At 43.2% G+C, this 25,472-nt stretch overlaps 1 protein-coding gene across 1 annotated transcript in view; it reads right to left on the bottom strand.

Moving 5' to 3' along the window:
* Positions 1-25,472, bottom strand: part of BLTP3A (bridge-like lipid transfer protein family member 3A) — an 85,432-nt gene that overhangs the window by 34,118 nt on the left and 25,842 nt on the right. Inside the window, exons 2-8 of the mRNA NM_017754.4 lie at positions 21,582-21,744; positions 21,442-21,480; positions 20,049-20,140; positions 8,991-9,180; positions 8,536-8,676; positions 7,933-8,103; positions 7,049-7,241 (exon numbers count right to left, since the gene is read on the bottom strand). Coding sequence (NP_060224.3) covers positions 7,049-7,241; positions 7,933-8,103; positions 8,536-8,676; positions 8,991-9,180; positions 20,049-20,140; positions 21,442-21,480; positions 21,582-21,744 — 989 coding nt within the window. The remainder of the gene's footprint in view (positions 1-7,048; positions 7,242-7,932; positions 8,104-8,535; positions 8,677-8,990; positions 9,181-20,048; positions 20,141-21,441; positions 21,481-21,581; positions 21,745-25,472) is intronic.

The following is a 25,472-nucleotide window of genomic DNA, read 5'->3' as shown; positions in this document are numbered from 1 at the left end:
TTGATTAACTTAATGATGAATTGAATAACTATTACAGAATTAAATAATAAAACATAAACTATTTTCTGAATTGTATATAGATATGTGGGCAAAAAAAAAATAAAAGTAACATAGGCCAGGCACAGTGGATCACACCCATAATCCCAACATTTTGGGAGGCCAAGGCAGAAGGATTGCTTGAGCTCAGGAGTTCAAGACCAGCCCTGGTAACATAGCGAGACCTCATCTCTACAACAAATACAAAAATTAGCCAGGTGTGGTGACACATGCCTATAGTCCCAGCTACTTGGGAGGCTGACGTGGGAGGATCGTTTGAGTCTGGGAAGTTGAGGCTTCAGTGAACTATGATCATGCCATGACACTCCAGACTGGGCAACAGAACAAGACCCTGTTTCAAAAAAATAAATAAATAAAATTTTAAAATAAACTATTTTTATTTAATACTCAAAGTTCAAATCACAAAAGTACTGAGGATCAAACATAAGTAACACTAGCAAAGCAGCCAATGGCAGGCAACAGGCAGTTGCAAGCCACCTCTCACCATATAACTCTGAGATGGAGCAACTGATTGAGAGAAAGTCCTCTAACCACAGCCATCTACTTGTCATAGTTTGTAACACTGATCTTCCACACATTTTGTGTATCTTCCATGAACTCACTGTCAGTGCTGCTCAATGAGATAAACTAAGTACTAAGGAATAAAATTTTGTCAGTCAGGTTAAACTTTATTTTTACTTTTTAATTAAAAAAAAAATAGAACTCCTGGGCTCAAGCAATCTTCCATCTCGGCCTCCCAAAGTGCTGGGATTACAGGTGTGAGCCACCGTGCCTGGCTGGGTTAAGCTTTAGAGGGCCACAGATGATTGTTATATCTAAGATCCCCACTGCACCCCCGAAACCAATTTTTAATTTCCAGAATAGGCAAATATCAAAAATAGATTAGTGGTTGCTTAGGGATTCAAAATGGGGAGTGACAGCAAATGGATACAGGGTTTCTTTTAAGGGAAACAAAAATGTTCTGAAATTAGATTATTGAGATCGTTATACAACCCTATGAATATATCAAAATACACTGAGTTATATATTGTAAATGGATGAATTGTATGGTGTGAGATTGTATCTCAATACAGCTTAAAAGAAAAGAGCCAATTTTCACCTGTTTGGGGTGATATTATCTCAGCTGAGAATGCATGACCTAGGCTACTGGAGGAAGAAGGTTCCACAACAATGCCTCCTCTGCTGGAGTTGCTTAGAGCTAAAAGAACAATAAACTATATGGAATGAGCTTATTATAGTAGGGTGTAGAATTGGAATCAAATATAATTAACAATTATCAACATATCTAATTGTAAACACATAATCATATATGAGATATAAATGGTAAATAGTGTATATAAATGACTAAAATTCTCTAGTGAACTAGTGGGAAGAGAATAGCCTGCCCTTAAAAAAGAGAAATAAGGAAGGTTTTTGGCTAACAGGCTTTACCCTAAGAGAAAACAGTTAAAAAGTAGGTGGTACTCTCTTCCCCATCAATCACCAATCTTCTCTCAGAAGACTGAAATGTGAGCTCCAGTTTGATTTTTTTCTTTTTTTATTTTCTGGGGAAAGCCTTATTTCTATCTTTGCCATCCAGTTTGATTTTACAAGACAATGCTGTCCCACCTCAAGACAGTGCTGACCCCAATGAACCATCCAGTTTCCGATCATTTCACCTCTAATACCCAGGGATAGGTGAGCATGTTAGTCAGCAGTTCCAACATCCAGGTGTGGCCTTCAAGTGGTCTCTAGAGCAGCACTGTCCAAAGAACTTTCTGTGATGATGGAAGTGTTCTATGGCTTATAGACTATACTGAGCAATTGAAATGTGGCTACAGCAAATAAAGAACTAATTTTAATTTTAATTAAAATGAAAATGAACTTTTAATTGTAATTTTCATTTTAATTTAAATAGCTGCATGTGGCAATTTAATACCATATTGGACAGATAATTCTAAAGTAATGATATCTAATAGAAATATAGACTGGGGCTGGGCACAGTGGCTCACGCCTGTAATCCCAACACTTTGGGAGGCTGAAGTGGGCGGATCACTTGAGGTCAGGAGTTCAAGACCAGCCTGGCCAACATAGTGAAACCCCATTGCTACTGAAAATGCAAAAAAATCAACCAGGCGTGGTGGTGGGTGCCTGTAATCCCAACTACTCGGGAGGCTGAGGTGTGAGAATCAAAAAAAATAATAAAATTAAAATAAAAATAATGTGAGCTGGACTTGGTGGCATGTGCCTATAGTCCCAGCTACCCAGGCGGCTTAGGCGAGAAGATTATTTGAGCCCAGGAGTTAAAGAGACCAGCCTGGGGAATGTAGTGAGCCTCTACTGTAAAACAAAACAAAACAAAAGCAACAACGACAACAACAATATAATTACACAAGAAATTTTAAATTTTCTAATAGCTATATGAAAGCAGTATTTAAAAAGTGAAATTAGCCTGGCGTGGTGGCTCACGCCTATAATCCCAGCACTTTGGGAGGCCAAGGCGGATCACAAGGTCAGGGAATCGAGAGCATCCTGGTTCATACGGTGAAACTGCATCTCTACTAAAAATACAAAAAAATTAGCCGGGCGTGGTGGCGGGCACCTGTAGTCCCAGCTACTCGGGAGGCTGAGGCAGGAGAATGGCATGAACCCGGGAGGCAGAGCTTGCAGTGAGCCAAGATTGTGCCACTGCACTCCAGCCTGGGCGACAGAGCGAGACTCTGTCTCAAGAAAATAAAAAGTGAAATTAATTGTAATAATATGTATTTATTTTTATTTTATTTATTTATTTTTTGAGACAAAGTCTCGCTCTTGTCCCCCAGGCTGGAGTGCAATGGCGCAATCTTGGCTCACTGCAACCTCCACCTCCTGGGTTCAAGCAATTCTCCTGCCTCAGCCTCCCATGTAGCTGGGATTACAGGTGCCTGCCACCACGCCCAGCTAATTTTTGTATTTTTTTTTTTTTTTTTAAGTAGAGACGGGGTTTCACCATGTTGGCCAGGCTGGTCTCAAACTCCTGACCTCAGGTGACCCACCCGCCTTTGGCATCCCAAACTGCTGGGATTACACGCGTGAGCCACCAAGCCTGGCCAATAATATGTATTTAAACCAATATACCCAAATGTTATTTCAACATGGAATCAACATGAAAATAATTATTGAGGTGGTTTACACTCTTTTTTTGGTACCATATTGTAAAGTACATGGATGTGCTTTGGTCAAGGAATATGCCTAGGCAGATGTCCAGGCCTGCATGACTCAGCAAGTTTAGAGCACAGGCATATAACTCCACCTGTTATCACAGCCATGTAGCCATAACATAGGAAGGTCATCCCTTGGCCCTGTACCACTATTGTCTGTAAAAGGTGTAACTGCCCTGCTGATGCTATGCTCTTGGGGCTCAGCTTGGACGGCACGGCACAGCACGGCATGGCACAGCTCTTGTACAGGCGCTGGCGCCCAGACAGAGTGAAGCTATTGACCCCTGTAAGGGAGACTGGCCGTCTGGCAGACAGGCAAGGGAGAGCCAGGAACTGGGTTGTGCCCAGAGGGAAAGAGTTAAGCTGCTGACTCTGAAGGTAAGGGAGAGCCACCCGCGCAGCTTTATGCATGCGAGCACCCGGACAAGCAGCCGGGCCAGTGCGAGAGAGCTGTTGATGAGAGAGCTGCTAAATAAAAGTACATTTCACCTGCCTACCCCCTGGCAGTGCCCCACCCCACCGACCGAGTGTTCTTTCGGCTATCTGCCCATCCACCCACTCCCCTCGACCTCAGCATGGGCTGGAACCTAACCCTGGGCATGACATTTGGCATAGTCATGGACCTGACACATATCTTTGAAATCCAATGTGTATTTTACATTTACAGAACATCTCAATTTGAATCAGCCACATTTCAAGTGTCCAGTAGTCACACGTGGTTAGTGGCTACTATATTGGACAGAACAACTCCAGAAAATCTTAAAGCCCTTTCTATATTACCTAGTTCTCCCTTCCCCTTTCTCCCCAAATCCCAGAGAAAGAGTTACAAGAACTCTCCCTGATCTCTGCCCCTATACCACACCCGGGTATGGTAGGCTGAGAATTATTCCCGTATTTTAAAATGTCTATCTAGATGGAGTTTTGTTCTTGTTGCCCAGGCTGGAGTGCAATGGCGCCATCTCGGCTCACTGCAACCTCCGCCTCCCGGGTTCAAGCAATTCTCCTGCCTCAGCCTCCCAAGTAGCTGGGATTACAGGCATGTGCCACCATGCCCAGCTAATTTTGTGTTTTTAGTAGAGACGGGGTTTCTCCATGTTGGTCAGGCTGGTCTCAAACTCCTGACCTCAGGTGATCCACCCGCCTTGGCCTCCCAAAGTGCTGGGATTATAGGCATGAGCCACCATGCCCGGCCTTCCTTGAAGTTTTTTGTTTGGTTTTGATTTCTTTTTGGAGATTGGGTCTCGCTCTGTCACCCATGCTGGAGTGCAGTGGCACAATCTTGGCTCAGAGCAACCTCTGCCAAGCGATCCTCCCGCTTCAGTCTGAGTGGCTGGGACTACGGGTGTGTGCCACCACGCCCAGCTGATTTTTGTGGTTTTTTAGAGATGAGGTTTTGCGATGTTGCCCAGGCTGGTCTTGAACACCTGGGCTCAAGGAATCTGCCCATCTTGGCCTTCCAAAGTTCTGAGATTGCAGGTGTAAGTCATCGTGCCCAGCCTCCTTGAAGTTTACTAACACTTGGGATAACTGAGGGAAAAGAAGTGACAATTCCACTCAGTCTATTAGAGGTCTGGATATAAGGTAGCCACACAATAACTCTAACTTGACTTCTTCTAACCATTCTATCTTATTGGTTTGGAGACTGTCTTCTGCCAGCATTTTTTGTGGCTTGAGATGATATTTTCAAACCCTTCTTTCACTACCTTTCTTACCCTTAATGTGCCAAGCTTGAAACAGGATTTGATTTCCTGAGCTACTTGTTTGCCTTCTGTGTGTCACCAAGTAATCTGGTTCATCTTTCATCTCATTCATGTTCTTTTCAAGTGAAACAAGACATTTTGGGGTCAAGTCTCTTTGGGTGTTTGTTTTATGTATATAAAAATGGATTTTGTGTTTCCTTTCCATGTAAGTACCAACTTATATGGAAACTCACAATCATAATGTAAGAAGAAATGAAAGCCTGGTGTATTGTACTTCAAGATGCCTCCCTGATGTACAGAATCTCCTTGTAAGATAAATAATTGCATTGTAAAAATAAAATAAAATGTCTCATCTAAAACTTCATTAAATTCCACCAAAAAGATCAATATAGTTTAATAAATGAACGGTGAAGCTACAGTCATTCACATCTTAGTATGGATTACAGAACTCTGGCACTTGAAGAGAATAGTACTAAACATCCCTTATCAAGCGACAGGATGAAACTCTGAATTGTGTACTCTTAATTAGGAATTCTGAAAGCATTAAAAACAAAATCTAAACAAACAATCAAACCAAAAAATACCCAAAGCCTTTAAGTAACACTTGGAAGAAATAACTAAACAAAATAATACTTGTTTTAGTAACAAACTTCCAAAATGAGTGAGTGGCAAATTATTTCCTGTGGTGGCAAAAACAATCTTTGCACTGTCATTGCTCCTTTCTTTCCTTTCAGAATGAGAGTAGAGGAGGGTTGAAATCACTTCAAGATTATTTTTTTTTTGAAACAGGGTCTCACTGTGTCACCCAGGCTGGAGTGTAGTGGCACAAATCATGGCTCACTGCAACCTTGAGCTCCTGGGCTCAAGCAATTCTCCCACCTTAGCCTCCTGAGTAGCTAGAACTACAGGGACACACCACCACACCTGGCTAATTTTTTTTTAAGAGATGGAGTCTCACTATATTGCCCAGGCTGGTCTCAAACTCCCGGGCTTAAGCAATCCTCCCACCTCAGCCTCCCAAAGTGATAGGACTATAGGCGTGAGCCCACTGCAGCTGATCTCTGGCTAATTTTCAAATTTTTTGTAGAGACGGGTTTCGCCATGTTGCCCAGGCTGGTCTCAAACTCCTAAGCTCAAGCAATCCTCTCACCTCAGCCTCCCAAAGTATTGAGATTACAGTCATGAGCCACTGTGCCTGGCCAGTGAATCTAGATCTTATTATAAGGTAAACAAAGCCTTTAGAGAAGATAAGCCAGCAAGAGAAAAGTCTATTTAATATCATATATAAGCATCAAAAACCAAGAACTGATGGCAATGGAGAGTTTAAAGGAAACACAAAGATAGTTTTGAAGAAACAAGCAGCAGGGTAATAAAACTTAATATTAGCCTATAATCAAGGTCCTCCAAATTCAGCCTATTGGCTCATTTGAGCCTGACAACAACTTTTGAGGTAATGAGTGAGACATCATTTAACTCAATTTCACGAATGTGGAAACTCAAACAGGTTAAGCAGAAAATTAAGTGGTTTCCCCAGGGCTCATAAAGGAAAGCAATCAGTCAATTAGTTTTTTTCATTCTGAATAAATACAAACACATATATAATGGCAGTTGTTCTAAGTATGTCGAGATTACAACATAACCTTGCTTGGGAAGAGAACATTTACACACAATAAATATTTAAACTGACCCAAATCTACAAATTCTGAGGTTTTCTATAGTTGAATTTACTTTCCTAAAATCTCACCCTAGTCGTTTTCAACCTCTGATAAGCATCAGGATTGCCTAAGGAACTTTGGTGAGGGGAAAAAAAAGTTTACACTGCTTGAACTCTACCACTGAAGACTCTAATTTAGAGGTGTTTGGGGAGAGGCCCAACATCTGTATTTTATTAAGTATGACATGTGGTTCTACTGTACCCTAAAGACTGAACAGCACTGCCTCAAACAACAGGGCTACCACAGGAGGGCTGAGGCCCAAGGAATGCCTGTGATTAAGGGAAGCCAACCAAAGTACTCCACAATGTCTTCTGAAAAGAGCCTTCATCCCCAGGCTCTGCCCAGAGCTAGACAGTGACGTGGACCACCCAGCCCAGGCTCAGGCCTCATGGGGTACCTGGCTCTCGGGACTGGCTATCATCACAAATGTGCAGGTCCAGGCGGGAGATGAGCAGATGGTAGGAGGACTCTTTCACATCAAATTTCTCAAAGTACTGGCTGAGGCGGCTGCTGCTGCTGTTGCTGTTGCCCTGGCTGCCACCAAATGCCTGGGCCCAGGACTGCTGGGCACTGGGGGCTGGTGGAGTGATCTACATGTGACAGAGAGAGAAACAGGAAGTCCAGACCCTGAAAAGATCCTTTGTAGGCTTTCTTTAAGCTTTGGTCCAGCCTGAAGAAAACCACAGTTTAGCAAGATGTTCCTTCCCTCTCACAACTGTTGGCCTAGTAGCTCACTTAGGTCCGTTTCAATTATATAACCCAAACTCCAAAAGCCTAATTATAATTAGTCTAATAACTGCTGGAATACAGTTCATAGTTCTGAATTGCCCTCCCAGCTCTCGCCCACCAGGTCTTAGTGGACTGATGCTAAAACATTTCCTCTAGGACGTCTTCCCTAAATGCTCTCTTTCAGCCTATGTAGTGAGATGCCTCTTCTTTGTGCTCTCATGGCATATTGTTTATTGTATTACAGCATTTATCACACCATACTGTAATAATTCATTTATGGTCCATCTTTCAAGACAGTGAGAGCCCCAAGGACAGGAACAAGAGGTGTATTCCATTTTTCTTCTCCAGTGGCCAGCACTGTATACTTAATACACTGGAGGTACCCAATGAACAGAATAAATAAAAAATCAGAGGTGCAGGCAAAGCCTATGAATACCCAGAAGTAAATGACAAATTTCCCAAATAAAGTCTAGATTCCACCTACATTAGTATGAGTTAGGTCTGGCCTACTGAGTCCCTAGCCCCACTAAGGGTGTCTGTTTTATCTCTAACCTGCACAGGTTCAGGGGCCAGGCTCTTTCTTTGATGGGCTGACTTCTCCATGGCTTCACTCAGTGACTCTGCATACTTCATCATAGCCTTGAGCTGTGAGTCAGTCAGCACCCAGAGCAGGTCATCCAACAGGAACATCAGCTTGGAGGATATCACATTGCAATCTTTGGTCTGAGGAAGCCACAGACAACATGGGGTTTATCACCTCGTATCATTCCAACTTTCAAAGTGACTGTTGCCCAATCAGTTTCAGAAGCGGCTTTTCAATCTCCAATATGTGAAAGTATCAAGCACTTTGGAGAGACAATTTCTTATAAAACTACTAAAGTTTCCTTAATTAAAAAAAAAGCAATAGTCAACTGCCAGGTGCCTATGTCAGTGTCCCTACATACGAGTAAAAATTGCAGTTTCCAAAACTAAGAAAACAGGAAGGTGGAAACATTCTATTACTAGAGGATGTTGAGCAACACTGATTTACAGGCCTTCCCCCTTCAACTGTCATTCCAGGGCCAATAACATTCCAAACAATAAGGGAATACCAAATCCAGGCTGTCTCATAGAATAAGAGATGGAAGTTTTCATGAGGCCAGAGAACACACTTACTCTTCTTTTGAGGGCTATTTGGATCCTGCCTTGGTTCGTAATAAGCCTCAATGGAGTGGTGACTGGGTCCTGATCACCATTGTCTGTAGCATCTGCCTCAATTCGGAGTGTTTGCCAAGTTATTTCCTTAAATGTTAAAACCTGGAAGGAGAGAAAGTACAATCCCTTAATCCTGTGAATGAAATTAACCAAGAAGCAAGAAGTCCAAGGAAAAAAGACTGGCAAGGCAGAGACTCCCAGCACTCTCAGTTGGGATCCCACCAAGAAAAAGCAGTGAATTGGGGATCCATAATTGAGGAAAGGATGTAGCAGTAACACTGGACAGAAAGGCCTCTGGGTTCCCAGGAATGGGGAACATTTGAGGAAATCCACAAAATGGGAATAATATCCTTTAAGAATCAGTCTGACTTTGAATATTCCCCCATTCTCTCCCTTCACAATGATGGGGCTGTCACCTCTCCTCGGCAGGGGTCAGTGATGCGGGTAAGGCGAAGGTCACTCTGCTGCCAGTTGGGGTTGACACTATAGCCCTGGAGCTGCCACAATTCAAAAGAAGCGTGGAAGGCCTTGGAGTGAATCTTGATGGTGATAGAATTGACAATGATGAACATCCCTTCCACCACCTTTTCGGCAAAGCCATATTCACTACAACAAATGAGGTAGACCAACAATCAGAATTATGGGAGACTTTCTGCACAGTCTTCATATTAGATGTTTAAATTATTTTATAATGATAATACAGTAGTCTTTTTATTTTTTTGAGACAGGTTCTTGCTCTGTTACCCAAGCTGGAGTACAGCGGCATGATCACAGCTCACTGCAGCCTTGAACTCCTGGCCTCAAGTGATCCTCTCGTCTCAGCCTCTGAAATAGCTGGGATCACAGGTATGAGCCACTGTGCTTGGCTGCAGTAATTTTTTTTTTTTTTTTTTTTTTTTTTTGAGACGGAGTCTCACTCTGTCACCAGGCTGGAGTGCAGTGGCGCGATCTCGGCCACCTGCAATCTCTACCTCCCAGGTTCAAGGTATTCTCCTGCCTCAGCCTCCCAAGTAGCTGGGAGCCACGCGCCACCACTCCCAGCTAATTTTTGTATTTTTAGTAGAGACGGGGTTTCCCCATGTTGGCCAGGATGGTCTCAATCTCTTGGCCTGGTGATCTGCCCATCTCGGCCACCCAAAGTGCTAGGATTACAGGCGTGAGCCACCGCACCTGGACAGTACTTTCTTTAATGAGAAATTTTTTTTTAAGAATGGAATAAAAGAGGAAGACCTTGAAACAATCTCCCTCCTGTTAGAAAGAATAAATTGATAAATCTTTTTATAAACCACAAACTATCTAAATATTTAGATAATGTCTGTGAGGGGAAGTATAACTACAGAAAAGAGACATAGGGTTTCTATAAAATCTTCAAAGACACAACAGCAAGACCTGGTGTCAAAAAAAAAAAAAATCTTCAATGATGGAGCATACTCTGCATAAGTAGTGGTAAGAAAAGTAGTACAGTCAGGTGAATAAGAGGTTCAAAATCAGTCCCACCTTGACCCTGTCAAATACAGTCATCCCTTGGTATGTGAAGTTCCAGGAGCCCCCAGTACCATCTCCTATACCAAAATCTGCTCAAATCCCACAGCCAACCCTGAGGGACCTGCATATATGAAAAGTCAACTATCTATGTGGGTGGCACCCTGCAATATTTTGATCTGCATTTGGTTGAAAAAAATCCGCATATGCATGGACCCATGTAGCTCAAACTTGTGCTATTCAAGGATCAACTGTGCTTCCCAAAGAATATAGCTATACTTCTACAGTGAGAGGACAGAAATGGCAAAAGGAGAGGAATGAAGGAAACAAAGTCCCTCTAGATGTGAAGAAAACAGCAATTCTTGACATGTAGGTGAAATCACTGCTCATTACAAGAGATAAAAGGAGGTCTGAAAATTCAAACTGAAAAAAAATATATATTTGGAATTTATGTCACCAAGAACTAATATCCCTAATGTATAAAGAACTTCAAAAACCAGAGAGAAAATAGAGCAAGAGCCTGATAAAAGTGGGACCAAGTATGGACAGGTCACAGAAGAAATAAATGCAAATAGATATTAAACATAAAGAGGCTGGGCACAGTGACTCACACCTGTAATCCCAGCACTTTAGGAGGCCGAGGTGGAGGATCATTTGAGCCCAGGAGTTTGAGACCAGCCTGGGCAACAAAGGGAGATGCCCTCTCTACAAAAACTCTCTACAAAAAAATTTAAAAATTAGCCAGGTCGTGGTGGTGCATGCCTGTAGTCCCAGCTACTTGAGAGGCTAAGATAGGAGGATCGCTTGAGCCCAGGAGATTGAGGCTGCAGTGAGCCAAGATTGCGCCACTGCACTCAAGCCAGGGTGACAGAGTCAGACCCTGTCTCAGAAAAAAAAAAGAAAAAGAAGAAAAGAAAAAACGCTGGGCACAGTGGCTCACGCCTATAATCCTAACACTTTGGGAGGCTAAAGCAGGCACATCACTTGAGCCTAGGAGTTTGAGCTCAGCCCAGCAACATAGTGAGACCTGGTCACTACAAAAAATAGAAAAAATTAGCCAGATACAGTGGTGCATGCCTTTGGTCCCAGCAACTTGGGAGGCTGAGGCGGGAGGATCACCTGAGCCTGAGGAGGTCTAGGCTGCAATGAGCTGTGATCGTGACACTGCACTCCAACCTGAGTGACAGAGTGAGACCTTGTCTTAAAAAAAAAAAAAAGAAAGAAAAAAGGCCGGGTGCAGTGGCTCATGCCTGTAATCCCAGAAATTTGGGAGGTGGAGGTGGGTGGATCACGAGGTCAAGAGATCGAGACCATCCTGGCCAACATGGTGAAACCCCATCTCTACTAAAAATACAAAAATTAGCTAGGCGTGGTGGTGCACACCTGTAGTCCCAGCTACTTGGGAGTCTGAGGCAGGAGAATTGCTTGAACCTGGGAGGCAGAGGTTGCAGTGAGCCAAGATCATGCCACTGCACTCCAGCCTGGTGACAGAGCGAGGCTCCGTCTCAAAAGAAAAGAAAATGATCCTCAACCTCACTCATAAATCAAAACTATGCTGAGAGTCACTAGATTTATGACAAAGGTGACAGTGCAGGGGGAAAATAGTTTTTTCAATAAATGGTGCATGGTCAGTTTGCAGATATCCATAAAGAGAAAAATTAATATTGATGCCTACCTTCATCAAACAACAACAACAAAAAATCAGTTCCAAGATGGACTAGAGATTCAAATGTTAAAAGCCAAACAATAAAGCTTTTAGAAGAAAACATAGGATACTCTCTTCCTGCCTTAGGATAGAAAAGGAACTTAAACAAGATACAAAAACTGCTAACCATTAAGTGGAAAAAAAAGATATACTGGACTACATCAGAATTAATAATTTCTGTTCAATAATTTAAAAAAAATTAAGGGTGGGCCAGGCGCAGTGGTTCATGCCTGTAATCCCAGCACTTTGGGAGGCCGAGGCGGGTGGATCACCTGAGGTCAGAAGTTCGAGACCAGCCTGGCCAACATGGTGAAACCCCATCTCTACTAAAAATACAAAAATTAGCTGGGCGTGGTGGCAGGCGCCTGTAATCCCAGCCACTCAGGAGGCTGAGGCAGAAGAATCACTTGAACCCAGGAGGTGGAGGTTGCAGTGAGCTGAGACTGCGCCATTGCACTCTAGCCTGAGTGACAAGAGAGGAACTCTGTCTCAAAAAAAAAAAAAAAATTAAGAGTGATCAGTATCTTGGTATTCTGTACAGAGTAGAAGATATCTGCAGTACATTTATCTAACCAAGTACTTGTTTTCAGAATATATAAAGAACTTCTACAAATTAATAAGAAAAAGACAACTCAAAGATAAATGAGCAAAACACACAAGTGCTTTATGAAAGACAATATCCAAAATTTCAATAAACCAATCGTCAGAAAAATATAAATTAAACCATAATGTGATACAACTACACACCCACCAGGATGATTAAAATGAAAAGATAGACAATACCAGATATGGAACAACTAGAACTTTTATGCAATGCTAGAGGGAAAACTGGTACAATCACTATGAATAACTATCTAGCAATATTTACAAAAACAGAACCCATAACCCAACAATTTTACTGCTAGGTATATAAAATAGAAATGTGTGATATATACACAAGAAGGTTCATAGCAGCACTATTCTCTTTCACTACATATTTTCAACTTATATGCAGGAAAATTCATTCTTTGTGGTGTATGGCTTTGTGGGTTTTTTTTTTCCCCGCCGAGACAGAGTCTTGCTCTGTGACCTAGGCTGGGGTGCAGTGGTGTGATCTCGGCTCACTACAACATCTGCCTCCCAGGTTCAAGCAATTCTCCTGCCTCAGACTCTGGAATAGCTGGGATTACAGGCGCACGCCATCATGCCCAGCTAATTTTTTTATTTTTTTTAGTAGAGATGGGGTTTCACCATGTTGGCCAGGCTGGTCTCGAACTCCTGACCTCGTGATCTGCCCGCCTCGGCCTCCCAAAGTGCTGGGATTACAGGCGTGAGTCACCACACCCAGCCGGCTCTGTGGGTTTTGGCAAATACATGGAGTCATGATTGACCACCAAAGTCATCATAGAGAAGAGTTCTACAAGCCTGTAATCCCAGCATTTTGGGAGGCTGAGGCGAGTGGATCACCTGAGACCAGGATGAGACCAGCCTGACTAACATGGCAAAACCCTGTCTCGCTAAAAATACAAAAATTAGCCAGGGGAGGCCAGGCGCGGTAGCTCACACCTGTAATCCCATCACTTTGGGAGGCTGAGGCAGGCAAATCACGAGGTCAGGAGTTCAAGACCAGCCTGGCCAACACAGTGAAACCCAGTCTCTACTAAAAACACACACACACAAAAAAATCAGTGAGGCGTGATGGCAGGTGCCTATAGTTCCAGCTACTTGGGAGGCTGAGGCAGAAGAATCACTTGAACCTGGGAGGTGGAGGTTGCAGTGAGCCGAGATTGCGCCACTGCACTCCAGCTTGGGTGACATAGCGAGACTCTTGTCTTGAAAAAAAGAAAAAGTAGCTAGGTATGGTAGCAGTGGCACACACCTGTACTCCCAACTACTCCAAAGGCTGAGGTGTGAGAATCGCTTGAACCTGGGAGGCAGAGGTTGCAGTGAGCTGAGATCGCACCACTGCACTCCAACCTGGGCAACAGAGCAAGACTCTGTCTCAGAAAAAAAAAAGAAGAAGAACCAGAAACTAGAAGCATCTACAACAGAATGGATTATGGCATATTCAGGTAATGGAATGGTATACAGTAATGAGGAAGAATGAACTACAAACATATGTAACAAAATGGATGTCTCTCACAAACATAATGTTAAGCTAAAGTAGCCGGAAGCAAATGAGTATATATTTACCTAAAACAGCCATGTTGTAGTACATAACAGTTCTTTATTCCTTTTTAAGGTTATGCCTGAACATGCCTGAACCTTGAAAACATTATGCTAAGTGAAAGAAGTCAACCACAAAAGACCACACAGTGTATGATTTCATTTATATAAATGTTCAGAATAGACATAGACAGTAGATGAGTGGTTGCCTAGGGCTAAGGCAGGGAAGAACGAGGAGTGACTGCTAATATGTATGGAGTTTCTCTTGGGTGATGAAAATGTTCTAAAATTGATTGTGGTCATGGTTGTACATCCCAGTGAATACAGTAAAAACCACTGAATTGTATACTTCACATGGATGAATGTTATGGTATGTGAATTATATTTCAATAAAGTGTTTTCTAAATTATGCTGGCTTGGCTTCTTTGGTTTTCTTCTTTTTTTTTTTTTTTTTTTTTTTTTTGAGATGGAGTTTCACTCTTGTCGCCCAGGCTGGAGAGCAATGGTGCAATCTCAGCTCACTGCAAGCTCTGCCTCACAGGTTCAAGCAATTCTCCTGCCTCAGCCTCCCAAGGAGCTGGTACTACAGGCATGCGCCACCACGCCTGGCTAATTTAGTATTTTTAGTAAAGATAGAGTTTCTCCATGTTGGCCATGCTGGTTTCAAGCTCCTGACTTCAGGCGATCCACCCACCTCGGCCTCTTAAAGTGCTGGGATTACAGGCATGAGCCACTGTACCCAGCCAGCTTCTTTGGTTTTCTTGTAAGAAAAGAAAGAATAAGAAAAAAAAATTATGCTGGCAAAATATGAAGTGACTTATGAACAAGGCCATTTATTGCTGAACCATGTTTAACAGCAAAAAATCTGGAAATAATCCAAATATCCATCAACAGAGAACTGGCTAAACTATGTTGCCTCCAAAAGATAAGCATATTCTACAGGTACAAAAAGGAATAAAGAACATCTCTTCACACTTCTATGGAGTGATCTCTAGGATATATATATATATATAAATACACACTTTTTTTTTTTTTTTTTTGAGATGGAGTCTTGCTCTGTCACCCAGGCTGGAGTGCAGTGGTGTGATCTCGGCTCACTGCAACCTCCATCTCCTGGGTTCAAGCAATTCTCCTGCCTCAGCCTCCTGAGTAGCTGGGATTACAGGCGCGTGCCACCATGCACGGCTAATTTTTGTATTTTTAGTAGAGACGGGGTTTCACCATGTTGATCAGACTGGTCTTGAACTCCTGACCTCGTGATCTGCCCACCTCAGCCTCCCAAACTGCTGGGATTACAGGCGTGAGCCATGTAATACGCCCGGCTTTCCAGGATATATTTTTAAATGAAAAGAACAATGTAGAAGAAGTATTTAAGATATGCTACATGTTGTACAGAAAAAAGGTGGGACAATACAAATATATATACAGTACATATAATGTGCCTTGTTTCACAGTTGTTAACTTCAGAGCTACATAATTTTACATAGCTAAAAATAAATTTAAAAACCATCTAAAACTTAAACAAATAAAAGAACCTTTCTGTATGTCAAATTGCTACTCAACCATCTAAAGAATGATTTCATGTAATCCCAGCACTTTGGGAGGCCAAGGCGGGTGGATCACTTGAGGTCAGGAGTTCGAGACCAGCCTGGGCAACATGGTGAAACCCCGTCCTTACTAAAAATACAAAAATTAGCCAGGCATGGTGGCAGGCGCCCATAATCCCAGCTACTTAGGAAGCTGAGGCAGGAGAATCGCTTGAACCCGGGAGGCAGAGGTTGCAGTGAGCCGAGATGGTGCCACCGCACTCCAGCCTGGAAAACAAGAGCGGAAAAACTTCATCTCAAACAAAACAAAACAAACAAACAAAAACAGTATTTTGACCATACATCCCTAATGGGATATTTCACAAGATTAAAACACACATACACACCCCGATACTGCATTCAGTAGTAGTGTTATTGATAGTTATAATGGTTTTGTTTTTCTGAAACTTGAAAAAGTAAATCATTTATGTTACTGTTGATAGGAGCCATGACTCAGTGTATGAATTTAAAAACCACTATTAAATCCAGAAAGTTATCTCAAAATCCTCTTTTCTTTTATTTGAATAGAGAAATATCAGGATATTGTCATGATTTATTTTTCTCTTTCTTTGTTTTGTTTTTTTTCTTTTTTTTTGAAACAGAGTCTCACTCTGTCACCAGGCTGGAGTGCAGTGGCACGATCTTGGCTCACTGCAACCTCTGCCTCCCGGGTTCAAGCAACTCCCCTGCCTCAGCCTCCCGAGTAGCTGGGACTACAGGCACGCGCCACCACGCCCGGCTAATTTTTTGTATTTTAGTAGAGATGGGGTTTCGCTATGTTGGCCAGGCTGGTCTCGATCTCCTGACCTCGTGATCCACCCGCCTTGGCCTCCCAGAGTGCTGGGATTACAGGTGTGAGCCACTGAGCCCGGCCTATTTTTCTCTTTCTTAAAAATACCTTTTTCCTAGCATTGGACACTGAAAAGGCCTTAAAGCAATGAAAACTCAATGTACACAGTTTTGCAGACAATAGTCTCTAAATAGCGTTTCTCACTGAAGGGAATCAGGGCTCCTTGGAGAGATGTCTGAGTTCAGGTCTAGGGTAAAGTTGTATAAAAGAATCCTCAAACATCTTATTCTATCTAAAAGCAGAACGATTACTGGGGTCTTGTCAAAAGGACACAGGAGCTCACTTGGAAATGCTCTAACTGGCCAAAGATGGGGAGATATGAACATCAAGAAGAATAATGACTGTAAAGGTATGACATACAAAAAAAACATGTATAAAGAGTAAATGTACGATGTAAAGCCAGGCACAGTCGCTCACGTCTGTAATCCTAACACTTTGAGAGGCCAAGTCGGAAAGATCACTTGAGTCCAGGAGTTCAAGACCAGCCTGTGCAATATGGTGAGACCCATCTCTGCAAAATATTTAAAAATTAATTGGGTGCAGTGGCACATGCCTGTATCCCCAGCTATTTGGGAGTCTGATGTGGGAGAATCGCTTGAGCCCAGGAGTTCAAGGCTGCAGTGAGCCGTGACTGCACCACCGCACTCCAGCCTGGGTGACAAAGCAAAACTTTGTCTCAAAAAAAAAAAAAAAAAAAGTAGGATGTAAAACATGTAACATGTAAAAGCATGTAGGCCAGGTGCGGTGGCTCACGCCTGTAATCCCAGCACTTTGGGAGGCCAAGCCGGGTGGATCATTTGAAGTCAGGAATTCGAGACCAGCCTGGCCAACATGGTGAAACCCTGTCTCTACTAAAACAAAAATCAGCCAGGTGTGTTGGTGTGTGTAATCCCAGCTACTCAGGAGGCTGAGGCAGGAGAATCACTTCAACCCAGGAAGCGGTGGTTGCAGTGAGCAGAGATGCACCATTGCACTCTAGCCTGGGCAACAGAGTGAGACTCCATCTCAAAAAAAAAAAAAAAAAAAAATGCAAAATGTAAAAAGAATATAAAATGGTAAGCCACTCTGGAAAAGTTTGACAGTTTCTGAAAAAGTTAAATCCTCCCCTAAATACCATAACTAGGTATTTACCCAAGAGAAAGAAAAGTACACATGACCACACAAAAACTTGTATACAAATGTTCACAGCAGCATTATTCATAATAGTCAAAAAATGGAAATAAAATGACCATCAACTAGTGAATGGACAAACCAATTGTGGCATATCCATACACTAAAATGTTACTCAGTGCTATGGTCTGATTGCTTATGTTTCCCCAAAATTCATCATATGTTGAAACCTAATAGCCCAATGTGACAGTTTTAGAGATGAGGCCTCTGGAAGGTGTTTAGCTCATGAAGGAAACGTCCTCATTAATGGGATTAATGCCTTTAGAAAAGAGGCCGGAGACTGCACTCAGTGGCTCGCGCCTGTGATCCCCACACTTTGGGAGGCCAAGGCAGGTGGATCACCTAAGGTCAGGAGTTCAAGACCAGCCTGACTAACATGGTGAAACCCCATCTCTACTAAATGCAAAAAATTAGCTGGGCCTGGTGGTGCATGCCTGTAATCCCAGCTACCTGGGAGGCGGAGGCAGGAAAATCACTTGAACCAGGGAGGTGGAGGTTGCAATGAACGGAGATCATGCCATTGCACCCCAGCCTGGGCGACAAAAGCGAAACTCCATCTCAAAAAAGAAAAAAAAAAGAAAAAAGAAAAGAGGCCAGAGAGAGACCTTTCACCCCCTTGGAAGTATTCTTACCAAGAAAACAAAAGCAAACAAAATCAATCAGGGCAAGCCTTTAAATCTACCAGATTAAATGAGAAACATTTTCAATGATACCTTGATGATACAATCAGCCAGAATATAAAACAAGTGAAATTCTTTAGAAAAGATTACCTAATTCCTACAAAGAATAAATGGTATATTTAAAAATGTGTGTGTGGTGGGATATAATTATAAGAGCTTTAAAAGGCCTATCACCCAAATATAAAGTATGGACTTCTTTTGATCCATATTGTTCCGTAAAAAAATATGTATTTAGGCCAGTCACAGTGGTTCACGCCTGTAATTCCAGCATTTTAGGAGGCTGAGGCGGGTGGATCACCTGAGGCCAGGAGTTCGAGACCAGCCTGGCCAACACGGCAAAATCCCATCTCTATTAAAAATACAAAAATCAGCCAGGTGTGGTGTGGGGCACCTGTAATTCCAGCTACTCAGGAGGCCGAGGCACAAGAATCACTTGAACCCAGGAGATGGAGGTTGCAGTGAGCCAAGATCGTGCCACTGCACTCCAGCCTGGGTGACAGAGCGAGACCCTGTCTCAAAACCAAAAAAAAGAAAAAAGAAAAAAATACATATATACATATATATATTTTAGAGATAATCCAGGAAAATTGATTATGAAATAGGTACTAGATGATATTAAGGAATTCTTGGGTTTTTTTTTTTTTTTGAGATGGAGTTTCATTCTTGTTGCCCAAGCTGGAGTGCAATGGCGCGATCTCGGCTCACTGCAATCTCCACCTTCCGGGTTCAAGCGATTCTCTTGCCTCAGCCTCCCGAGCAGCTGGGATTACAGGTGCCCGCCACCACGCCCGGCTAATTTTTTTTATTTTTAGTAGAAATGGAGTTTTTATTTTTAGTAGAAACGGGGTTTCACCATGTTAGCCAGGCTGGTCTCGAACTCCTGACCTCAGGTAATCTGCCCACCTCAGCCTCCCAAAGTGCTGGGATTACAGGCGTGAGCCACCGCGCCTGGCCTGTTAATTCTTTTTAATGTGATAGCAATATATTTTTTTTCCAGGCCTTGTCTGTTAAAGACATGATATGAAAGTATTTGCAGGTGGGTTCACAACCAGCCTGGGCAACATGGTGAAACAGTCTCTACCAAAACTACAAAAAATTGGCCAGGTATGGTGGTGCATGCCTGTGGTCCCAGCTACTTGGGAGACTGAGGTGGGGAACCACTTGAGCCTGGGAGGCAGATGATGCAGTGAGCCAAGATCACACCACTGCACTCCAGGCTGGGTGACAGGGTGAGACCCCATCTCAAAAAAAAAAAGTATCTGCAAGCGGAATCATATGGTTTCTGAGATTTGCTTTCAAGTACTATAGTGTCCACATGCACATACATACACATACACAAACTGGCAGGAAAAAGAAAAAAGAATGACAACGTTGGGCATGGTGGTTCACATCCGTAATCCCAGGGCTTTGGGGAGGCTGAGGTGGGAGGATCGCTTAAAGCCAGGAGTTCAAGACCAGCCTGGGCAACATAGTGAGACACCATCGCTACAAAAAACTAGCCAGGCATGGTGATGTGCGCCTGTGGTCCCAGCTACTTGGGAGGCTGAGGTAGAAGGACTGATTGAGCCCAGGAGGTCGAGGCTACAGTGAACTGTGATCACACCACTGCACTCCAGCCTGGGTGACAGAGCAAGACCCTATCCCAGGGAAAAAAAAAAAAAAAAACAGAAGAAGAAGAATGACAAAGTGTTGATAATTGTTGAAATTAGATCTTGGGTATATGGAGGTTCTTATACCATTTTCTTTACTTTAGTGTAAGTTTGAAAATGTCCATAATAAAAAGTTTTTATTTTTTAACTAAAAGGGGATCTGGAGCAATTAATATGTTGGAAATAACAGGGTTCAAAGAAACTAACCTCTGTCCTGAAGCAAGGGCAATGGGAGACTGTCCATTGGGGGGCCGAGGATCCTCACATGTCTTCATCTCCACCTCTACCTTATCCAGACACTGAAATAGAAGTCAAGGAGAACTAAGCATTTACACAAATACACACACAGCACAATGACAGCACAGACTGTGTCATTCATCTCCGTGCTCCAGAGCCTAGTCAAGTGCTATACCCATTGTGGGCAGACAATAAATATTTACTGAGTGAATGAATGAATGAACAAACTAAAATGCAAGGAGAGTCCTCATTTTCCCCCTTCCATTTCCATTAGCAGCAGAACCTCATGACAAGCACGGGATGGGCTCAGAGCAAAAAGATAAAACACAAATCCAAGTTGTAGGAATATTATTTTTCCTGGGGATTCCAGTTTTTGGGATAAAGATACACATCAACCAGCTTCTGAAGGGCCCTCAACCGATAATCATCCAACAGTCAACCCAAACTAAACTTTTTTTTTTTTTTTCCCGAAACAGAGTCTTACTCTTATCACCCAGGCTGCAGGGTGATCTCGGCTCACTGCAACCTCTGCCTCCCAGGTTCAAGCAATTCTCCTGCCCCAGCCTCCCGAGTAGCTGGGATTACAGGCGCCTGCCACCACACCTGGCTAATTTTTTGTATTTTTAGTAGAGATGGGGTTTCACCATGTTGGTCAGGCTGGTCTTGAACTCCTGACCTCAGGTAATCTACCCACCTCTGCCTCCCAAAGTGCTGGCATTACAGCACCGCACCCGGCCCAAACCAAACTTCTAATTTTTCCTCTGTCAAGATTTCAAGGAGTGCCAGGCGCGGTGGCTCACGCCCGTAACCCCAGCACTTTCGAAGGCTGAGACGGGTGGATCACCTGAGGTTAGGAGTTCGAGACCAGCCTAGCCAACGTGGCAAAACCTCGTCTCTATTAAAAATATAAAAATTAGCTGGGCATGGTGGTACATGTAATCCTAGCTACTTAGGAGGCTGAGGCAGGAGAATTGCTTGAACCCAGGAGGCAGAGGTTGCAGTGAGCCATGGCACTCCAGCCTTAGTGACAAGAGCAAAACTCCATCTCAAAAAAAAAAAAAAAAATTTCAAGGGAAGATAGAAAAGTCTAAGGGTAGAGCCTAGGCAGCCATAATTGTTACACTAAAACCGAGAAAACAACTGAGAAGTCCTGGGTCTTGTGTCCCAGTGCTAATCCTATACCATACAGCAGTTCCAGAATAAGCCCAGACAACAGTCACACTGTCTCAGAGAGAAGCTCACAGGGACATAAGGAGACACCCACCATTCCTAAAAGGGTTAGCCTATCATTTTCTCCCTTATCTTCTAAAAGCCTACCCTGGCCATCCCCATTTGATAACTTGCAATCAAGAAAGGTCATTACCAAGCAAATAGGGTGTGTCTTCAACTTTGTCCACTGGATCTGAAAGAGGAAAGCAAAGTCTCAGGGCTGTGGTAGCTGACCCTCCAGAAAGCAGGCCTACTGGCCAAAGAGAACAGCAGCATTCTGACCCTCATTCTCACCCGGATGGAGGCCCTGTTGCAGTAGACCCGAGTGATGGCTAACCAGGTGGGCAGCTCCAGTACATTCTGTAGAACCTCTTCATCCAGCTCCAGGTTGGTCAGCTGACCCTCCCCTTTCAGGGTGCTCAGGTTGATTTTGTCTGGGGAAAGATTCTTAGTGAACCTGAAAAGAGTAATGATAAGAAGCTATTATTTCCATGGGAATCTGCTAATTGGGTATTACAGCCAAAACACTTCTGAATCTAGAGAAAAGAAAAAATTAAAGAACATTTGTTAAGGCTAGTCAAGTGAAGCAGTGGGAGTGAAGGAACACAGAAAACTGTAACTGGGGTTGTGATCAATTAGTTGTAAACACTGCACTCAGACCAGCCAGAACAAATGCACTCAGACCACACCATCTCTACACCATATAAGATGTTAGGTGAGACCTATGATTCTACTTATGATTGTGTCATCATCCTACTAAAGAACCTACGATGAGGATTCTGGGGCAATAGCTGTAGCAATGGCAATGTAGTCTTTCGGTATTTCTGAACCCTCGCATAAAAACAGACAGAGGGAGCCGGGCGCAGTGGCTCACGCCTGTAATCCCAGCACTTCGGGAGGCCAAGGCGGGTGGATCACCTGAGGTCGGGAGTTCGAGACCAGCCTGACCTACATGGAGAAACCCCGTCTCTACTAAAAATACTAAATTAGCCGGGTGTGGTGGCGCATGCCTGTAATCCCAGCTCCTCCAGAGGCTGAGGCAGGAGAATCACTTGAACCTGGGAGGCGGAGGTTGCAGTGAGCTGAAATCGTGCCATTGCACTCCAGCCTGGGCAACAAGAGCAAAACTCCATCTCAAAAAAAAAAAAACAGACAGAGGGCCAGGCGTGGTGGCTCACGCCTATAATCCCAGCACCTTGGGAGGCTTAGGCAGGAGGATCGCTGGAGCCTAGGAGATCGAGACAAGCCTGGGCAACACAGCGAGACCCTATCTCTAAAAAAAAAAAAAAAAAAAATTAGGCATGGTGGTGCATGCCTATAGTCCCAGCTACCCAGGAGGCTGAGGTTGAGGCTGCAGTGAGCCGTGATCATGACACTGTACTCTAAACTGAGATGACAGAGCAAGACCCATTATAAAAACAAACAAACACCAGACAGAGCAACTAGATAACAACACAGAAAGTCCATGAATAACATTTAAAACAAAATAGAATATGAAGTATCTTCATAAATCCCCATAGACAAGTGGGTGGGGAAAAAACAACAGCCACAAGACATAAGTGCTATCCAGCTGTCCAGAATAAAGTGGAGGGAAGCAAAAGGGCATCTGACAACTGAGAACTGAAGAACCCCAAGATAACCAACAACTATTAAATGAAAAGCAATGGGGACTGATTTGACAACAGTAACTGACACTGGGAGAGGGTTCTGTCCACTGCAAGGGATCTGTAGTGAGACCCCAAGGAGCTGGAGCAGTCTAGCCCTATAAACTCATGAAACTAACCTTCCCAAGCTCCTTCCTAGGAAAGGACCCCCACACAGAAAAGAATTAAAAATGAGCAAGATAGGGATGAGAGAAATGAAGAAAAGAGATGTTCTAGATAAAAGTAAGGGAGGGGAACAGAGACCTATTATCTCAGGAAGCAAGCTGTTATTTTTTTTTTTAGCACTACTTGAAATAACAGAAGAGGGAGCTACATGAAGTTAAGAATGTGAAACAGTAACAGGCTAATTATCAGCTTATTAAAGTAGGGTAAAATGAAATCCCAGACCCCTACACATATCTTTACTGATATGAAAAAAGAACAACCAGTCACCTGTAGTCTTCCCAAAGAGACTAAACTTGAATCTCATCAAGCCACTGGGTCCAGTTGCTAATTTGAAGGAAATACTGAGGACAGATGAAAACTGCTGAACTACACTGTAAGTGTGCAATCAGCAAAATCCAGACCATAGGAAACTCTATCGGTCAAATGGTCTTGAAATAAAATATTCACACAGGCCAGTCCTCTCACTATTTCTCACTGCTCCAGTCCTCGATGCTGTGCTCTCGCCAGCCACTCCATTTCCCTTTCCCTCCACACCACTATCTGCCATGCAAGGCTGAACTGGAGACTTCTCCCTGAGGCCTTCTTCCCCTAACTGCTGCAACTCACATTACACTCTTTTATTCTCCATTCCTGGAATCTGTAATGCATGTTTAGGTCATAATCATATGACAGTGTCTTAGGATGTTCTCTAATTCTCAAATGCATAATATAACCACCCCTGCTCAATTAAATTAAGCTCTTCAAGGTAAGGGGCTTAGTCTTGGCCATTCTTCCTAATCCAAATGATGACCCAACAGAATGCTGGCCCACATATCTCTTAGCTAACTGCCCTGCTGGCTAACTACTCCCAGTTCCCTTCTCTCATCTTTTTGGCTGGATCAATTTAAGGCCAGTTCCTCATAGCATAACCCTCTCTCCTGTAAGAAAAACAGGAAGGGGAATATCACACTCTGGGGACTGTGGTGGGGTGGGGGGAGGGGGGAGGGATAGCACTGGGAGATATACGTAATGCTAGATGACGAGTTAGTGGGTGCAGCGCACCAGCATGGCACATGTATACATATGTAACTAACCTGCACAATGTGCACATGTACCCTAAAACTTAAAGTATAATAAAAAAAAAAGTAAAAAAAAAAAAAGAAAAACTGTCTAAATTAATCTCACTCCTGTAATTCACTGCTGCTGCCTCTCATAGTCACTATTTTCACCCCAATCATGAATGGTATTTTGTCCACCAACCTTAACTATACTTAGTCTTTACATATATTAGATGCTAACAGTTTAGAGTTACATATCTATATATTTACCAACTTTTTTCACTATATGTATCTTTTCCTTTTACTAAACTATGTTTTAGTGTTTTTGCTTTTCCTTGGACCATAAAATCATGACGTGCAAAAGTTTATCTTTGCAATTTTTTTCTAAAGTACTTAAGAAGGTACTATGAAAACAGCTCTTTAACAAATTTTAAATGACAGTAAAAATCATTTTTAGAAGTTTGTGAACATGCAAAACAATACCGTATGATATTAAGGGATACACAGGAATGCATTGGCATGATGACAAATTTAGGAAAGTGCTTACCTGTGGGGTAAGGGGAGGGGTCGACAGGAAGCTTCAACTGTATGGATAACGCTTATTTCTCAAGTTGAGAGGTGACTGTATGGCTTTTCATTACGCTACTCCATACCTTTTGTACAGCAAATATTTTGTAACAAATTTTTCTAAGATTTCTATCAATTATCTATTTACGTACTTAGTGTTGGGAATGCTATTCCTCCATTGAGTCTCGTTTTTTTCTTTTTTTTTTCTGAGACAGGATCTCACCCTGTCACCCAGGCTGGAGTGCAGTGGTACCATCATGGCTCACTGCAGCCTCAACCTCCTGGCCTCAAGCTATTCTCCCACCTCAAACTCCCTAGTAGCTGGGACTACAGGCACACATCACTATGCTTGGCTAATTTTTATATTTTTTGTAGAGACAGGGTTTTGCCATGTTGCCCAGGCTGGTCTCAAACTCCTGGGTTGAAGCAATCCACCTGCCTCGGCCTACCAATGTGCTGGCATTACAGATGTGAGCCATTGTACCCGGCCTCATGGGTCTCTCTTAATCCTACACATCTGGCCGGGCGCGGTGGCTCACGCCTGTAATCCCAGCACTTTGGGAGGCCAAGGCGGGCGGATCACGAGGTCAGGAGATCGAGACCATCCTGGCTAACACGGTGAAACCCCGTCTCTACTAAAAATACAAAAAAAAAAATTAGCCGGTCGTGGTGGCGCATGACTGTAGTCCCAGCTAATCGGGAAGCTGAGGCAGGAGAATGGCGTGAACCCGGGAGGCGGAGCTTGCAGTGAG

The sequence above is a fragment of the Homo sapiens genome, chromosome 6 (assembly GCF_000001405.40).
Source record: "Homo sapiens chromosome 6, GRCh38.p14 Primary Assembly".
Lineage (NCBI taxonomy): Eukaryota > Metazoa > Chordata > Mammalia > Primates > Hominidae > Homo > Homo sapiens.
This window is presented reverse-complemented; position numbering and strand designations above follow the sequence as displayed.